Here is a 19,188-nt window from a genome sequence, read left to right on the forward strand (position 1 = left end):
TAAAACAGTAAGGTCAAGTTGTTTGGACAAAAAGCCTGCAGGACACAATCCCGGTCCTTGTGTAAGAATTCCGACTTCACAGCCCTGCACTTCGGCTGTGTGTAATGAAAAGGGTTGGGATGAGTCAGGGAGAGCCAGGGTCGGGGCAGTCTCTAAAGCTGTCTTCAAGGAATGGAAAGAGGAGTGGGGAAAGGATTTAGGATCTATGGGGTCAGCTAGGTTTCCTTTTGTGAGTTTATATAATGGTTTTGTTAGGATGGCAAAACCAGGTATCCAAAGGTGAAAGTGTCCAACCATGCCCAGGAAGGAAAGGAGTTGTTGTTTTGTAGAAGGTGCTGGGGTTTGAGAGATTAGTCAGACACGATCAGCAGGAAGAGCACGTGTATTTTATGAGAATTATGCTGAGATAGATAGGTAACAGATAAGGAAGAAATTTGGGCTTGACTGAAGTAATGGAGGCTGTCCGTGAAGCTTTGCAGCAGTACAGCCCAGGTAATTTGCTGAGCCTGATGGGTGTCTGGGTCAGTCCAAGTAAAAGCGAAGAGAGGCTGAGATGAAGGGTGCAAAGGAATAGTAAAGAAAGCATGTTTGAGATCCAGAACCGAATAATGGATTGTGGAGGGAGGTATTGAGGATAGGAGAGTATATGTGTTTGGCATCATGGGGTGGATAGGCAAAACAATTCGGTTGATAAGGCATAGATCCTGAACTAACTTTTAAGGCTTGTCTGGTTTTAAGACAGGTAAAATGGGTGAATTGTAAGGAGAGTTTATAGGCTTTAAAAGGCCATGCTGTAGCAGGCAAGTGATAACAGGCTTTAATCCTTTCAAAGCATGCTGTGGGATGGGATATTGGCATTGAGTGGGGTAAGGGTGATTAGGTTTTAATCAGATGGTAAGGGGTGCATGATCGGTCGCCAAGGAGGGAGTAGCGGTATCTTATACTTGTGGGTTAAGGTGGGGGGGATACAAGAGGAGGACGAAAAGGAGGCTTTGGATTGGGAAGAAGGGCGGCAATGAGATGTAGCTGTAATCCAGGAATAGTCAGGGAAGCAGATAATTTAGTTAAAGTGTCTCGGCCTAATAAGGGAACTGGGCAGGTGGGGATAACTAAAAAGGAGTGCTTAAAAGAGTATTGTCTAAGTTGGCACCAGAGTTGGGGAGTTTTAAGAGGTTTAGAAGCCTGGCTGTCAATACCTACAACAGTTATGGAGGCAAGGGAAACAGGCCCTTGAAAAGAAGGTAATATGGAGTGGGTAGACTCTGTATTTATTAAGAAGGGGAAGGACTTACCCTCCACTGTGAGAGCTACCTAAAGCTCGGTGTCTGTGATGGTCTACAGGGCTTCCGAGGCAATTGGGCAGCATCAGTCTTCAGCCGCTAAGCCGAGAAGATCTGGGAAGGAGTCAGAGAGCCTTGGGCCAGAGTTCCAGGGGCTCTGGGAGTGGCTGCCAGGTGAGTTGAACAATCCAATTTCCAGTGGGGTCCCACACAGTTGGGACACAGCTTAGGAGGACTGCTGGGCATTCCTTGGCCTGGTGGCCAGATTTCTGGCACTTGTAGCAAGCTCCTGGGGGAAGTGGTTCTGGAGGAACGCCTGGCCACTGCAGTTTAGGCGTGTTTGGAAGTTCTTGTGTGCTGGAGGTGTGGCTGGGGTTTGTCTCACAGTGGAGGCAAGGAATTGCAACTCAGAAATATGTTGCTACTTGGCTGCCTCTACTCTATTATTGTACACCTTGAAGGCAAGGTTAATTAAGTCCTGTTGTGGGGTTTGAGAGCCACAATTTAATTTTTGGAGTTTTATTTAATGTTGGGAGCAGATTGGGTAATAAAATGTATATTGAGAATAAGACGGCCTTTTGACCTTTTGGGGTCTAGGGCTGAAAAGTGTCTCAGGGTTGCTGCCAAACGAGCCATGAACTGGGCTGGATTTTTATATTTGATGAAAAAGAGCCTAAACACTATCTGATTTGGGAATAAAGGAAAAGGAGCATTAACCTTGACTATGCCTTTAGTTCCAGCCACCATTTTAAGAGTAAATTGCTAGGCAGGTGGGGGAGGGCTAGCCATGGAACAAAACTGTAAGCCTGACCAGGTGTGAGGAGGGGAGGTGATAAAAGGATTATAGGGTGGAGGAGCAGAGGTTGAGGAAGAATTGGGACCTAGCTCGGCCTGGCGGGGAGGTGAGAGGTCAGATGGGTCTGTAGAAAAGGAAGATTAAAAAGACTCAGCAATGCTTGGGGTTTGGGCTGAGGGGACAGGAGGGAGAGAAAGAAGGAAGATTTGGGATGAGTTGCATTGGGAACAGAGACTAGGGAAGGACTGATGTGTAAAAGAATGCCTGGACGTCAGGCATCTCAGACCATTTGCCTATTTTACAACAAGAATTATTTAGATCTTGTAGGATGGAAAAATTAAAGTGCCGTTTTCCAGCTATTTGGAACTACTGTCGAGTTTGTACTGGGGTCAAGCAGCATCTCAGAAGAAAATAAGACACTTAGATTTTAGGTCAGGTGAGAGTTGAAGAGGTTTTAAGTTCTTAAGAACACAGGCTAAGGGAGAAGAAGGAGGAATGGAAGGTAGAAGCTTGCCTATAGTGAAGGAGGCAAGCCCAGAGAAAAGAGAGTAGAGACATGGAGAAGGGGTGAGGGGTTCTTGCCCTCCAGAAAAGCAGAGAAGGGGTCAGGGCACAGAAATAAGGGGTCGGGTCACAGAGATAAGAGGTCGGGGCACGGAAATAAGGGATCGGGGCACAGAGATAAGAGGTCGGGGCTCCTGCCCCTCCCCCAGAAAAACAGGACTTGCTGCTAAGGGTGAAGGAGAAGGAGTTGAGGGGTTCTTGCCCCTCCCCCAGAAAAGCGGGACTTGCCACTAAGGGTGAAGGAGACAGGGTTGAGGGGTTCTTGCCCCTCCCCCAGAAAAGCAGAAAAGGGGTAGAGACATGGAGAGAAGGGGTTGGGGTTCTTGCCCCTCCCCCAGAAAAGCGGGACTTGCCACTAAGGGTGAAGGACCAAGGCAGGCATCCCTGCATGGTCTGACACCTCTGAAACCTGGGTGAATAATCAGAGAGGCATCCCTGCAATGATTAAACACCAAGGGAAGGCTGCCTTCCCTAGTCCGTGACTGGCGCCGGAGTTTTGGGTCCACGGATAAAATGTGTCTCCTTTGTCTCTACCAGAAAATGAAAGCAATTGAAATTAAGAGAAGGGAGAGATTGAAGTGTGGCACCAAGATTGAAAGGAGAAAGAGGTTGAGGGATAGTGAGGGAGGTTGGAGAAGAGAGTAAAAAGAGGCCACTTACCAGATTTGAAATTGGTGAGATGTTTCTTGGGCTGGTCGTTCTGAGGACCTGAGGTCGTAGGTGAATCTTTCTCACGGAGCAAAGAGCAGGAGGACAGTGGATTGATCTCCCAAGGGGGGTCCCCCGATCCGAGTCACGGCACCAAATTTCACTTGCGTCCATGTAAAGAGACCACCAAACAGGCTTTGTGTGAGCAATAAAGCTGTTTATTTCACCTGGGTGCAGGTGGGCTGAGTCCGAAAACAGAGTCAGTGAAGGGAGATGGGGGTGGGGCCATTTTATAGGATTTGGGTAGGTAAAGGAAAAAGGGGGTTTGTTCTCTGTGGGCAGGACTAGGGGGTCACAAGATGCTCAGAAGGGGAGCTTTTGAGCCAGGATGAGCCAGGAGAAGCAATTTCACAAGATAATGTCATCAGTTAAGGCAGGAACCGGCCCTCTGGATGTGTATGTGCAGGTCACAGGGGATATGATGGCTTAGCTTGGGCTCAGAGGCCTGACAGACAGACACAACAAAAAGAAACAAAAAGACTACCACCTGCAAGCCAGGAAAAGGACCCTCACCAGAAATCAAATTGGCCAGCACTTTGATCTTGAACTTCTTAGCCTCCAGAACCATAAGAAATAAACACCTGTTGTTTAAGCCACTCAGTCTATGGTATTTTGTTATCACAACCTGCCTTACTCCATTCTTGCTGGTACAACAAAATACCTCAGACCAGGCAATTTATACACTACGAAAACGTATTGCTCACAGTTCTGGAGGACAGAACATTCAAGAACAAGGCATCAGTAGATTTGGTGTCTAGTGACAGCCTATTCCTCATAGATGGTGCCTTCTGTGTGTCCTCACATGGCAGGAAGAGCAGTTTTCTTCAAGCCTCTTTTGCAAGGGCACTGATCTCATTCAGGAAGGTGGAACCCTTATGACTTAACTGCATTCCAAAGGCCCCACCTCTTCATACCGTCACCTTAGGGGTTAAGATCTCCATAAATGGCTTTGGGGAAACATAAATCTTCAGATCATACCACAGCCTGAGCAGAATCATAGGTTAATCAATGCATCAATGCTTCCCCATTTATTTTCTTGAATTGGAGGTCCTGATATGCTCAAGGAACCAGTGACTTGACTCCACTTGTATCTTGGCATTGGCTTTTTCTCCCCTACATCTTGGCTCCTGTACTGACTCCTGATTTCAAAAGATAGATAATGCTATAATTGAGCCTTTCTTTGAGGTTCTGCTTTCTGAGAAACCCAGGCTAAGCCAATTCATTTGCCCTCAATTCACCAATAAAATATATAAAGCTTAATATAGAGATTATTTAGCAAATATTTCACAACACACCATTTGTTAAGCCAGGATTCAGATCAAGGTCTACTTTACCACAGTGCCTCATGAGAGGAAGAGCCAATTGCTCATCCACAAGCCAGAGATCACATGGTTCGTGGTCTCTGATCTAATCCTTGGAGCTCCAGCATCGTCCCCTAGCTTCGCTCTCCAGCTTCCTAGAACTGGACTGACTGACATTCATTTACCTGAGCAGATTTCTAATCCAATCAGCAGTATTCAAGAGATGCTTCAGAAGTTTCTAAGAATTACTCTCTGGTGCTCAACACTCCAAATGATTCACATATAAGGAATATGACCTTTTTACTGCCACATGTCCTGACCTCCATTTTGTTGACCTGGGGTTCTTCCTAGATTTTTCCACTGAGCACTGGTGGCTAACTGACTGGAGGACTGCTGCAGGCCCCTGGCCCTTGTTACTGAGGTCCCCACATACCTGTGCTCCAGCAGGTCCTGGTTATCCTTGGGACAATTTTCTAACATGGATCCATGCCTGATGCACTGTAGGCCCCTAATAGCTGTGAGCAGAAAGGGAAAGGGCTGGAGATGGAGACAAATCCACGAATCCAGGTAATAGAGAAAGCTAAGGTAATTCATTCAATGATTACAAAATGCTACATGCTTTCCCATCCCTGTAGAAGAGTTTGCTTTAAAGCCAGCAGGTACCTTCCTGGGATCTTCCCTAGAAAATTTGCAATTGAGAGCTGCTAAAGAGGATAAGGATCTATTCACTCTGAAGCTCCTGTCATGCTCATCTGTCATTACCCATGGACATAGGCTCAATGTCTTCAGGTGTTTTTTCTGATGCTCACAGTCTGGATGTATTCCTTGATAATTTTAATGCTTTAAGAACAAAGGGCCTCACATTTTTATTTTGAACTGGACCCGGCAAACTATTGGAAAGATAATAAAACTTAAACTCTAACTCATCTTGTTGGCAAGTACACATTCCAGGGCCTTGGAAGGGCCTTAGCAATGTGATCAAATGTTTCATTTGTGCTGAGAAAATTTGCAAAATTGATTGATAGCATAACAATTGATAAAGCTATGTCTCTCATCACATATTTATAAAACACTTCCATACACAAGGTCTTGTCTAATTCACATGGAATTCATGAGAGATTCCTGGGGCAAACTTTATAACCCTCAAACTTGAAACTGGGCCATTTGGAATTCCCATAGAACCATGTTTACCTTTCTCTTAACACTTAACAGACTCTAACCTGTTGGTGATACTTTCATAGCAGGTCATAAGCTGCTAGAGAATAGAACCCATGTTTTATTATCCTTTGTAACCCCAGCATCCTATCCTGGGGCTGGTCAGCAAGCAGGCAATCCTAAATGTTTTTAAATCTGAACTTAATACTTTTGAAAGACTTTCCACATAATACTACTTATGGCAGAATTCCTCTGTAACAAGTGCTTGTGTCAGGGGGTAATTTTCTTTTTTTCCCTCTATTTTTACCCTGCCCCCACCAAATACTAAAAGGCACAAGAATCAAATGAGAGACAAAGCAAAATATTTTGAAAAGCTTTTAAGAAATTGTGATCCAAATAGTTTTCCTAATGAAGACCTGAGACATCTGTGAAATCCTGGGTAATGAGCTCATTCTGCCTGGTAACTAAGGAGGCAGTGCATACTCCAGCAGGTCAGAAATACATCCATATGTTCACATTTCTCAGTAGCATCTGGGCATTCCTATGCTGAAACCTAGAATAGCAGAGTCAGGAAGGAATTGGAGAGCATGTGTTCCAGAGCCCATTTCACGCTCAGGCGATGGGGATTCAATGAGGATGCCTGGGGAATATGTTCAGGATCACAAGTCAGAGCCAGACCAAAGATGAGAAGTCCTCACCCTTAGGGGTCACGGGGAAATATTTCCAGTTTTACGCTTTCACTTCTGGTTCATGTTTCTTTCACCCTCTCTTACTTAAAAACAAACAACAAACAAATAAAACATAAAATAACTAAAAGAAGCAACATATTATTTCTGATGTTTCTACCTGGATGTGAGTCTGAAATAAATCAGATAAATTCTACTTCAAATTGTGAGGACCTAGCTGTCTCCAAACTTACTATTCAAGTCAGACAACAACAAGGTAACAAGGCTACCAGAAATATGATTGGAATTTTGAAGTTCCCATCAAAAAGGCAGGACTGGGACCGAATCTCCAGACATTACTTGTCCTGCTTCTTGTAACACTATTAATTTCAGTTTGGTTTTGTTGAGCCCCTTACAGTAGAGGCTGTCTTACCCTCCCCATTTCTAAAAATCCCTAGGGAGGTGACTGAAGTCACATATCCATCCCTGGCCCCATGGAGACATGCCTATGGGTGGAAAGAATATTTTGATGGGCTTCAAAAGCTTTGTCCTCGATAAACTCTGCTCCACGACTGTCTCACCTTTGTCTGCTCTCCTTACATGGCTTCTCATTCCCTCCTACTAATGTTTCCTTCACGCATGCCCTGGGGACCTGTACCATGCACTATACTCTGTAGCATGCACTATTCTTCCTCTACCTCATCACATTGATCTTTCGTTTAGCCTGGTGGTCTTAGACTCACCTCACTGTAACTGACCTCTGATGAGGATCCTTTTGTCACAAATGCTTCAGACACAATGAGAAGGTTGCAGCTCTCCACATGAGCAAACCTCCTCCTCATATCTAGGACTGTGCACATGGAATGAGATGTGCCCCCCAATCAACACAGCACCATCTCCTGAAACTCATCCTCATTCTACAGTCTCAGCTTCGATGGAACTTTCTCCCTGAAATATTCCTGGGCTTCCTAAAGTTGAATCATCTTTTCTGTGTTCCCATACATATCATTGTTCCCTCTCCTTTGGCTGTAATTAATACACTGGATTAAACCAGCCCATTTATATGTGTGTGTCTCCAAATTTAACCCTAAAGTACTTGAGGTAAGTAACTGAGTATTTTTTCAAGGTATTTCCAGCACCTCTTAAAGTATCCATGTCATTAATGAATATTAAATAGCCAAATGACACAGTTGGAATTCATTCCAAGGTCTTCAATTTGATAGCTGAGCATTTATTAAATAAATATTTTAATGCTTATTTTGTACCAGGTAGAGGTTCCTTCCTGGGGAAAAAGCACAGAGAAAAGCAGATGAGAAACCTCTCTTGGGGATTCTATTGCAGAACGAGGGAGGCATGAGACAGATAAGAAACAAGGAAAGAAAAAACAAATAACTCATGGAGAAAAATAAAGAAAAGGATGAGTTGTATTAATGCTGTAAAAGAGAATAGCATGACAGACTGGTGAGCTGAGGCAGAAAATGCCACTTCAGACAGGATGTTCCGTGAAAGCTATGTGAAAACCTGGCGTAGCCCATATAGCAATCTGGGAGAAGCGTCCCTCCAGGCCAGGAGGTGAACAAACAAGGGCCCTTGGGCTGAAACATCATGAGTCAACTTTTTCAAAGAATAGAAATTAAGCCAGAGTGGTGGAGCACAGGAAGCTCCACTTCCAAACAGCTTCCATGTTTGGAAGGACCAAGGACAGTGAGATGGATCATTGATTGGGCAATGGACTTCTTGGCCATGACCAGGAATTTGGAGTTATTATAAGTAAAATTCAAGCTCTTGATAGCTTTTCATCACTGCTGTGATACAACCTAAACCATGGTCTGAATCATCCCCCTGGTTTCTGGTGAAATGTGGGATATAGGTAGCTCAGAGGGAAGCAGGACATTCAGTAATGTTACAGTTATCCAGGCAAGAGATGATGTTGACCTAAGCCAGTGGGTTAACAGTGGCAGTGCAAATAAATAGACACATAAGACTTGCTGGCAGATTTGTATTTTGGAGTGAAACAAAATAATCAAGAAAACCTGTTGTTTTGTGTTTGGATAACTGGGTGTGTGGTAAGCAGTTTACTGAGGAAGAAATGGAAAAGAGTTTTATCAACAAAAATCAGTAATTCTATTTTTGGCCTTTAAAGTTTAATGTAAGTTCATACGTGATGTTCACCTGTCATACAGGAGATTTTCTAAATGAGTCTGGACTTGAGGAGACTGGTCAGCACTGAAGAGAGAAATCTGGAGTCTTGAGTAGATACGATTCTACTTTAAGATATAAGACTGGATGAGAGAGAATGTAATAGAGAAAAGATATTCAGAACTGAGCTCTGGGCACATCAAAATAGAATTTCAGAGGAAACAGCACCAACGAGTAAAAGGAAAGTAAAGGGCTGACGAAGAAGTCGTGGAAACAAACTATTTCAACAAGGTGGGCATGATAGGAACAAGTCATGGGAAAAAATGGCAGCTACCATTTATAAGCATTCCCTCACTGGCCATTAGTGATTGTGAGAGATGCTATATCCTACTCAGACTGCAGGAGTTGATCTCTGCATTTGCCAAAAATGGAGAGTACTGGTCCTCTTCCTACCTCAATAGCGGCCTTTTCCTCATTTTCCTGCTATCTAAACCCTGGAATGCCCAAAGCTCATAGCTCTGGCTTTTTGCTCAGTCTATTTCCAGAATTTTAATGCCCTCTAGAAGATGAGAACTTTCTCATTGAAATCTATTAACCCTGATTCCAATAAAGAGCTATCAGGGAACAGCTCTATTTTGATATTTCACAGTAACTCAAGCTCAAAATACCCAAATCTGAAATGGTAGTTTCAGAAGATCTAGCATGGAGCTAATGAAGCTGAAGCTTCAAGACCATCACTTGCACTGATTCCTTATAACTTCCAGTAGCTAATTGAGAGTTTTTGTTATTGTTGTTGTTGTTTTTTAAGAGAGCTGCCAAATTCTGCCTTTATGTCCCACAGGATCTGGATTCACTACTGCTTGTTTTCTCCTCCCTAACTCCACTCACTATCCCAATTAGTGGTAACTCCATCCTCCTAGATGGTAAACCAAAAAATCTTGAAATAACTCAGTATTTCTTTACTTCTCCCACATTTCATGTATTATCCAATCCACTAGTAAAGTCTACCCACTCCATCTTCAAATTGTCCTCAGAATCTTGTCTTCATGGCTGTCACCCTAGTTTCAACCACTGTCTATCACCTGAGAAATTTAAAAGCTTCCTCACGGGGCTACCTGCTTCCTCTTTTGCTCTGCATTGTTCTATTTTGAACAGCATCTGGAACATTCCTTCTTTATTTAAGGTCATGTCATAGCATGTCTATGCTCAAGATTACTAATGATGTTCTCATCTCAGAGTAAACATTGAAGTCATCATTATGGGCTCAAGGCCTACATATGGTCAGCTCTAGGCCACCCTCCCCATGTCTTTCCCTACAACTGTCTCCTGTTCTCACTCCACTCCAGCAACACTAACCCCCTTTCTTGCTGTTCCTTGTTTCTGTCATAGGACTCCCCAAACTTACTCCCTAGTCCTGCAATCCTAGGACCCCCAACCTTACTCCCTAGCCCTGCAATCCTAGGACCCCCAACCTTACTCCCTAGCCCTGCAATCCCTCTCCCTTCCCCCAACACAGACACTCATGCATGGATCATTCTCTCTGTCTGCTCAAATGTCACCTTATCAGAAAGCTTCTGTAGCTGCCCTCTCAAAGGAGTACACACAGCTCCTCTTTTCTGCAGGACACTCTATCTGCCTCTTCTGCTCTACCTCTTTGTCAATATATTTTTACCCTGTGACTACATAGAATGCAATTATTTGTCTACGTTCTGTCATCCCTCAACTAGAATATTACTATGAATACAGGGACTTGTCTTTATTTTTAACAGTACTGTATTCTTCATACTATGTCCTTGAAAAGCATTTGATAAAGGTAGAATAGGTTGTAAGCAATTTCAATAAATTAAGTACAATGTGTGCCAATGTGCCATGTAAGCTCTTAAGCCCTTTGTACGTGAAAGTGTCCATTTCCAGAAATGAATCCAGCCTGTATCTTATAATCTCCAGAGAAGCCATTTCTCTCCAGGTTCTGTGTTCTGTCCTTTTCTCTTCCCAGGGCTCTCTCCGTGTTACGAATCTCAAGCTTTTAAGCTTTCTGCTTTTCTCCCATAACATCCAGCTCTGAGAAATTAATATGATAATCACTTATTCACCCCTTGGTGTGCGTTTATGTCAGTGAGGTACCTGCCTCTCACAGAGATAAATGCATTATACACCTCAAGTTTAGTGTGAAATAAAATGCTCTGTCTTCTGATAAAAGATTTTTTTTTCTCTTTTAAAGCAGCAGCAGCAGCAGTTTGGAGAGGTTTATTTAAAACAAGGCAGAATTCCCTACTGCCCTAAAAGCCTCAACTTGGAAAACAGCACGGTGAATGGAAGAAAACCAGGCCTGGGGACTGAGGGGCTGCTGTGGCTCTCATCTTGATAAGAAGAAAGGATGAGCACCAACTTACCCCAGCTTCTGTCCATCTGTAACACATTTGCTGCTACAGATTGTGTCTGTATAGAGAAGAGAGAAGACGCAAAGCTCTTCTTCCAGTCCTTGAAGTCTGCAGCCTGGGTGTCTGCAGAGGACAATGCCTTGTTCTTTAAGATACCCAGCATGGCACTGCAGTACATCTATAAAAAATGCAAGTGAGATAAAATATAAAAATAAGAATTAAAAATTAAATACAAGATAATAGAAGGAAAATAACACAATTATGCAATGTGAAAAAAATGTAAGAATGTAAAAAAACGAAGTATTTTAATTAGAAAAATAAAGTTAAATAATGTATAAATGTAGAAAAATTAAGAAAAGAATCAACAAACTAGAGAAAAATGGAAGTACATAAATCTTAGATAAAATTAAAAATCATAGGCTAATCTATGAAAAGCAAAAGGAAAGAAAGTGCTGACAGAAAATAACCCAAAAGAGAAAGTAAAGAAAAAATAAGGGAGAAAGAAAGTCAAGAACAGAAAATGTAAAGAAACAGAAATAATGTTAAGAAAAAGAAAAAAAAAATTAGAGGGGGATGTGGATGAATGCAGGCAAAAAAAAAAAAGGGAAAGAACAGAGAAAGTGAAAATTAAGGAGAGAGGGAGGGAAAGGAAATCATTAAAATCAAAAGAAAAAATAATTATTAAGGAAAACAAATTAGAAAATAAAAATGATAAAAATGTAGTTAAGGAAGAAAGAAAAGTAAGAAAGGAATATAAACAATGAGAAAACAGAAATGCAAGTGATCAAAAGTCATAAGACACAAAAGTAAAAGAAAAAATAAAACTAAGAAAGTAATAGAAATACCAAAAGCAAAATAGAACGTGAAAATAATACAGACAGTAAATAAAATCATGATTAAGTAAAAACTAGAAAATAAGGTAAAAAAAAATAAAGCAAAGAAATCAAGTGAAGAAAGAAAAGGAAGTATGGATGCACAGACTCTCTCTGGACGGGAGAAGGAGGCACCCCTTCTTTACTGTGACAACACGAGTGCTCCACCTTGAAATGAGGCTGTTGGGCAGAAATGGAGAAAACATTGGGTTTTGATGAGTGAATGCAGTTCCCCAAAAGCCTTTCTTCCAGTTACACTTTCAGACTGGCGAGGGTGAGCTATTGATAATATTATTTAATCCCCAAATTACAGGTGCATCATATCTTGAACAAGATCAGGGACATAGGAGTTTACTGTGGAAGACGATGATGAGAGAGAAGAGGATAAAGAACTAAAAGTTAAGAATCAGACCGGGCATGGTGGCTCACACCTGTAATCCTAGCACTTTGGGAAGCCAATGTGGGTAGGTCACTTGAGGTTGGGAGTTCGAGACCAGCCTGGCCAACATGGTGAAATCCCGTCTCTACCAAAAAATACAAAAATTAGCCAGGCGCACCTGTAGTCCCAGCTACTCAGGAGGCTGAGGCAAGAGAATCGCTTGAAATCAGGAGGCGGAGGTTCCAGTGAGCTGAGATCACACCACTGCACTCCAGCCTGGGGAACAAAATGAGGCCCTGTCTCAAAAAAAAAAAAAAAAAAGAAAAGAAAAAAAAGTAGTTAAGAATCATAAATTTAAAGCTAATGAACATAACAATGGCAAATAAAAGATAATAAAGCCATATGCTAAAAATACAAAATAACTAAAAATGAATGAATTTGTGAAGAAGAAAAATAGGTAGACAGAAAGACAGGGTGGAAAGAAGAAAGGAAAGGAGGAAAAATATTATACCAAGGAAAAGAGAGCAAATTTTAAAGAAAACAGAACAATAAAAAAGAAAAACTAGTTAGTTGTACTTGAAATCTGGCTATTTCATTGAAACACATTTGCTATTGTGTATGAAGAATCAATAACATGGACAGGGAAGAAAGAAGTTATAATTATCTTTCAAAAGCTCTTATTTCTCCAGTCTTCGTTAAGGTATGAAGCATCTGCAAAAAGTCCTGCAAAAGTGTCAAGATAGAATTACCTTTCTGAATCATTATTTCTTTTGCAGCAATTATCCCCCTGAATAATAAAGTTATGGAAATGAATGATAGAACCAACCTGAGGAAATTAATCAGCAAGCCTGGGAATACAATTTGGGTCTCCTTAACAATATTCCAACTTAATTGAAAACAAGGACAGTTAGGTTGGTTTTTGGTCGTTTTATGTCTTTAATATGTAATTTTCATAAACGAAAGCTTCATATTGCACTTTGGGGATGATGGTTACAGAGTACTTGATAAGTTTTACTGCAAGGACATGTAGTAATGTATATGCCAGCCTCTTATATGACAACTATTGAATTTACACTTTCAACTCTTTTAAAATATAAACGTGTGGATTGCATACTCCTGTGTTTTGCATTGCTTGTGAAATGTTGAGAAGGCATTGTGTTGACAAATGCAGCATGACATTAATCCAAGTGCATGATCCCCCTTCTGCTTGCCCCTAACTTCCCATTGCAGCCTGATGGTACATATGTGTGAGTTTATTCTTTGTGATTTCTGCAGAACATCATCTAACAACACAGGGACACTATCAGAAGAAGACCACGAAAGGTTATGCCCTTTGGAGTCAATATTGAGGTTCTCTATCACACTGGAAAGAAACAGACCTCAGACAACGGATTACTAACCACACTTCACTGAAAGCACCATCAGAGAAACATGTGACAAAGACATGGAGATCAATGTGCTACTCTGGAATATCTCTGCATTTCCCCAAGACTGTCCTGAAAGACCAGCAATGGAGAATAGTTGTACCAGGAGTGGAGTGGTCAGATGTGTCTGTCTTTGTCATACATTGCTAGCAATTTTGGTTGTTTCTCAATAAACATTTTTAAAATTTATTTTCCCTAAATTGTTCACTGTTCACATTCATCCATTTATCCACTTACTCAATAATTATTTTTTGAGTATCTATTCTGCGGTGAAATTAAAGACCAAAGTAGGGGATAGAGAAGTAAAGTTGAGATCACTGGGCTTTATTACTTTTTAAAGCCAGGGGATAGCAATGACGTCAGCTTGAGAATGAGTTACAATAGCAACCAGTAAAGGATAGCACTGGCTTTAAACAAAAATAAACCACCAGAATATATTTTCTGATTTATCTGTGTTTCTGATGAGGACATCCGTTTATCTATTTTAAATGAAGTGTTGCTAGATACCCACCAGTTTTCAAGAATCTAACCACTGGGTAAATAAAAGGAAAAAATGGGAAATTCTGACACAAGAGTGAAATATGAATGAGTGAACATAGAGAGCTATGAGGTTCTCATACTGTAGATGGTGTTTCTGTTGATCTTGGTTGCATTAGAACACATCTGCTGAAGTCCAGGGTCACCTTTGCTGAAGGTCAGTTACAGCCCATTATGAGTAAAGATATGTGGATGGAGAAATCTAGAAGAGCAGAGATAAATAGTATCTAGGTGTTTTAGGAGGCTTGAAGCATGGCATAGGAATCTGGTCACGGTGCTTTTTAAATAATGAACCATCTATCAAAAAAGCAAATGAGCTGTGGCTCCCACCTGTCATCCCATCTACTTGGGAGGCTGAGGTGGAAAGATCACTAGAGCCCAGGAGTTACAGTTCCAGACCAATTTAGACAACATAGCGAGACCACGTTTCTAAAAGAAAAGAGAGAAAGAGAGACAGAGAGAGAGAATGCCACTTGAGAAGATGAACGTCGAACACATCATATGGTTTTCAATTGATATGTGATGGTATTGAAATTAAAAATAATTGAGGAGCATATGGTCATATCAAGAATTACAAAATGTTTGTGAAAATGAGTCCCTCCAATTAATTCTTGATTCCAAAAATTGATTCCCAAAATGTAGTCACAGTAGATAAGAGATTAATAAAACATTTAGGATTCTTCACATTAAATGATCATTATTTTCTTCTCTCTCTCTCTCTCTTTTAAGAGACAGAGCCTTGCTCTGTTGCCCAGGCTGGAGTACAGTGGCATCATCATAGCTCACTGCAGTCTCAAACTCCTTGGCTCAAGGGAGCCTTCTGCCTCAGCCTCCCAAATAGCTAGAGCTATAGGTATGTGGCACCACCACACAACTACATTTTTAAACAAAATTCTTTGTAAAGACAGAGTCCTACCATCTTGTCCAGGGTGGTCTTGAACTCCTGGGCTCAAGGGATCCTCCCACCTTGGTCTCCTAAAGTGTTGGGATTACAAACATGACCCACCACATGCAGCCACAAAAGATCACTATTTTCTAAATTAGTCCAGGTTTCTAATGCTGATATTGATAGCTTCCCTTATTGAGCCCCATCAATAGTTTTTGCTTTGGCTCCTAGTACTCTAATATTTTCTTAAATCACTAGAATCCTCAGCCTCTTTATAAGTAAACTCTGTATTGTATTTAAAACACCATACTTTCTGATGCCAAAACCTTAAAGAAAGGGAAGGGGCAGGAACAGCAGAAGCAATGCATTAAGATTTCTTGATAAAGTTCCCTTCCTTACATTAAGGAAACAACTTAAGACACACGGAGAGTGGATTAATATAATTGAAACCCAGTCCATAAATTCTCTTTCACATCTTACTTTCAATGTTTAAAAGCTGTTTCTTCTCTTGAATTTAACAAGGGTTTATAACAGATGTGCATTCTAAAGAAGAGTGAGGGTTTGGATTCTCCCGGGAGTACACTTCAAATCAAGGATGCAAATGCAAGTTGTTATTTGGAAGCTGTAGAGAGCCAGGACAGGGCAGGGTGAACAGGAGGAGACAGTGAAGGATGAGTTAGCAAGTCGCTCTGGACAACTGGTGCTTAGTCCCGTGGAGAAACTATTTCATCTGAGGGCCAAGCAACTCTAAATTCATTTTTCTTCTTTTGTTCTTCCAAATGTATCCATTTTTTAATTTTACAGGTAAAATTTTAAGTATCATGTACAACATGATGTTTTGAAGTCTATATTACATTGTGGACTGGTTAAATCTTACTAATTCACATGTGCATTAACTTGCACAGCCATCATTTTTGTGGTGAGAACACTTAACATCCCTCTCTTAGCATTTTTCAAGAAATATGTCTTTATATAAAAACTCAAACCATCCCTTGCTTGAGGGCGGCTGTGGGGCCTGCCATTCTACTGGGCCTGCAGCTCTGTAGAAATCCCTGTCAAAGCAATTAAGGTGCTGGTAGTTGGAAGTCAGTCAATAAGAGTACACTGAAGTGATAAGGTCTGGGGAATAAGGGCAGGACAAGCATAACCTCTGCAACAAAATCATCTCATAAAAACACCACCACCAACGCCAACGCATCATCTGCTTGGAGCATATCCTTGATAGGATTTTTCCTGCATAACCTCTAGGCTTCCGAAGCACCCTTTGAGCAAGAAATGTTTTTCTCATTTACAGATAAGAAAGTTGTCGTAGAGGGATGAGATGTCAGTTCCAGAGGCAACAGCTGTCATGTGACAGGATTAAGTCAAAATCAAAGTTTCTATCACTGGATTCCTTAAGCTTTACATAGATAAGAAAGTGTGATAACGAAGATTATCTGTGGAGAGGATATGAGAAGAAAAAGCTGAAGCCATCACCAGAGACAATGCTGTGGCCAGTGGGTCTGTCCTGCTGAGGCACGGGTGGCTAATCTGGAGCCCTCCCCCAGGTCAGGGCCATCACGGCAAGCCAGAACCTGAAGTAGAGCACGGCCCTCTAGCGCCCTCTAGCGCCCTCCTCGACCTCTGCCTCCAGCTGGGCACTTCCCTGAAACTTCCCTAGGCCTCCTTCCAAAATACACAGGTCTCCTGTGTTTTCAAGACTTTACTGCTTTTTCAATGAGAAAGCAGTCAACAAAAACTAAAAAGCATGAGGAAGTTACAAACTTTACATAGGTTTTATAGTTGCTGTCTTTGGTTTACAATATACTAGTATTCATTGAATATAGTAAGATATTCAATTATAGGATGTGTTAGTAGTATTCAAAGTAAAAATATTTAAAGATCATGGTCTATTTGGGACAAAAAATTCCTAGGCACTTTTCTTCAATCAGCCTACAGTTCTCTCATCAGCTTTTTACAATGGTGAAGCAGGACCTGTTAGCAGAACCATGCCCTCCAATTTAGATCCTAATTTTGCCCCACTCCATGCCAAAGCCTGTGGGAAAGTAGATCACACCCTTTAGAAATAAGTGGCAGAAAGTTACCCTGTATCATTTCATACCAACAGAATACTTCATTTTTGAAATTTTATTTTACCCTACTTACAAAGAGCTCACCTGTTACCATTTCCTGAAGGTTGACCTAAGACATAAGACGTCTGGTGGAACTCAAAGGACCTTATTACTCATCGTAAAGCAAGCAACATTGTCATCAGCATATTAGCCTTGGTTTCCACTGTTCCCAATCCCAAGGGAGAGGGAAGCATAATATGGCCCAGATAAATGCCTCACATCGGTGGGTTTGCGTCACAGCTGAACAGCACTGGGTTTGGGGAATATACCAGTTTTTTAGCAAACGGTAAACTGGGCTATTTGTCTAGGAGGAGCGAGACTACTAGCTGCGCAAACAACACTGAGATACGGCCTGGGTAGGAAGCTCTCAGAGCCCTGTGGTCTTGGTACAACCAGAATCACGCAGTGGAACACAACAACCCGAACTTACTTTTTCCAAACGAATTCTCCCAATACAGAGATTCTATCATATGTAACTTGGAGAATTCTTTCTTTATACCACAAAATACAATTTATGCTGTGTACAGAGTAACTAAAGGACAAAAATGTTCACTTACATTGATAATGAACAAAATAACATTTCATGCAATATATTCAATACAATATATCATAATTTAATAAAATAAAGGTTGAATAACTGCTGATTGTTGTTGGCTTTTTTGGCAGAACTTTATATAGATGGTGCAGGATAGTCCTCTATAATCTAAATATATAATCTAAAGGGTGCTGTCTGTGTTGCCAGGGCATATTAACAGAGGGTTTGTCTTTCTGAGATAATAGGAAAGTCACAGGCAATCCCCTTAAAAAAAGGGGTAAAAAATATTAAAAAGCTCAAAGAAAGGTATTTTTTAAAGTGATTTTCACAAAGTCAAAGAATCTTAACGTAGGTGCTCAATTCCTTTAGGTTTTACTTTCATTCATCCATCCATCCAACAAAAACGTATCAAGAACTCGGACTGTACCTTGCATAAAAAGAGTGCAAGTCATTCTACTTGGGGCAGGGGCACTTACTCAGCATGGCTTCACATAAAATCAACCCTTGCATTAGCAAATTGAACCACTAGAAGCATGACTGTTTTCAGAGTAAGTATGACAGACAAAGGTCTGTCTCCAAGATACCAAGCATCTAGAATAGAATCTAAATGACAAATCAGATTGTATTTCACAGACTTCTCAATATGACATGTAGCAAAGGACAATGAGAAGCTTGAGGATTCGTGGAAGAACTGTGTGCGTCACATTCCATGCCAACATGCAGACTCACACATACCCCATAACTTCCTACGTTTATCTATGACATTAACTACCTCTTCCACACTTCACATTTATTGTAAAAATACAGTCAAGTGGAAGGAAGAATCCCAATAGATATTTCACCAACGATAGAAAGGGCTTCCTTGTATTTGGATAAGGGAAAGAGGTCATGCAAGAGGGTAGAAAACACATCTGAAATTTAGTTGCTTTCTTATTCCTGGCAATAGCAACAGTAAATATCTACATAGAGCATCTCCATTTGCACATCCATCTCATCTGAATTTTAGAGTAACCCTGTGAGACAGGTATTAACATATGACCCATAGTATAGATCAGAGAACTGTGACATTGTCCCAAAACCACTCGGGAAGTGATGGGAGCACAAATAAGACTCAGATGTTCTGCTTCGTGAGTCTGGTCTCATTCATTGAATTGAAGGACTTGGATGCAGGTTGAAAAAACTTGGACTAAGGTTGAGGCTGATGTTCACCTGTTTGGGAAGTCAGGATTGTCCATCTGATAAGAGGAGTAACTGACAACAAATAACCATCGCCTTTTCTGCCTGTACAATATATAGTGAGTTGCTAAGACACTGTCTCATTCACTCAATTACTTGACACTTGCTATCACTCAGCAGGGCAAAGAGAACTTGCACATATCACCTCACTTGACAAAAAATTTAACTGAGAGCCAGGCATGGTGGCTCATGCCTATAATCCCAGCACTTTGGGAGGCC

General features: G+C 41.2%; 1 long non-coding RNA gene across 1 annotated transcript in view; it reads right to left on the reverse strand.

Moving 5' to 3' along the window:
• LOC401478 (uncharacterized) overlaps positions 1 to 19,188 on the reverse strand; it is a 273,872-nt gene that overhangs the window by 17,045 nt on the left and 237,639 nt on the right. Inside the window, exons 3-5 of the long non-coding RNA NR_161374.1 lie at positions 11,002 to 11,167; positions 5,083 to 5,164; positions 3,301 to 3,451 (exon numbers count right to left, since the gene is read on the reverse strand). This is a non-coding gene — a long non-coding RNA (uncharacterized LOC401478). The remainder of the gene's footprint in view (positions 1 to 3,300; positions 3,452 to 5,082; positions 5,165 to 11,001; positions 11,168 to 19,188) is intronic.

This window comes from Homo sapiens, chromosome 8 (assembly GCF_000001405.40).
Source record: "Homo sapiens chromosome 8, GRCh38.p14 Primary Assembly".
Lineage (NCBI taxonomy): Eukaryota > Metazoa > Chordata > Mammalia > Primates > Hominidae > Homo > Homo sapiens.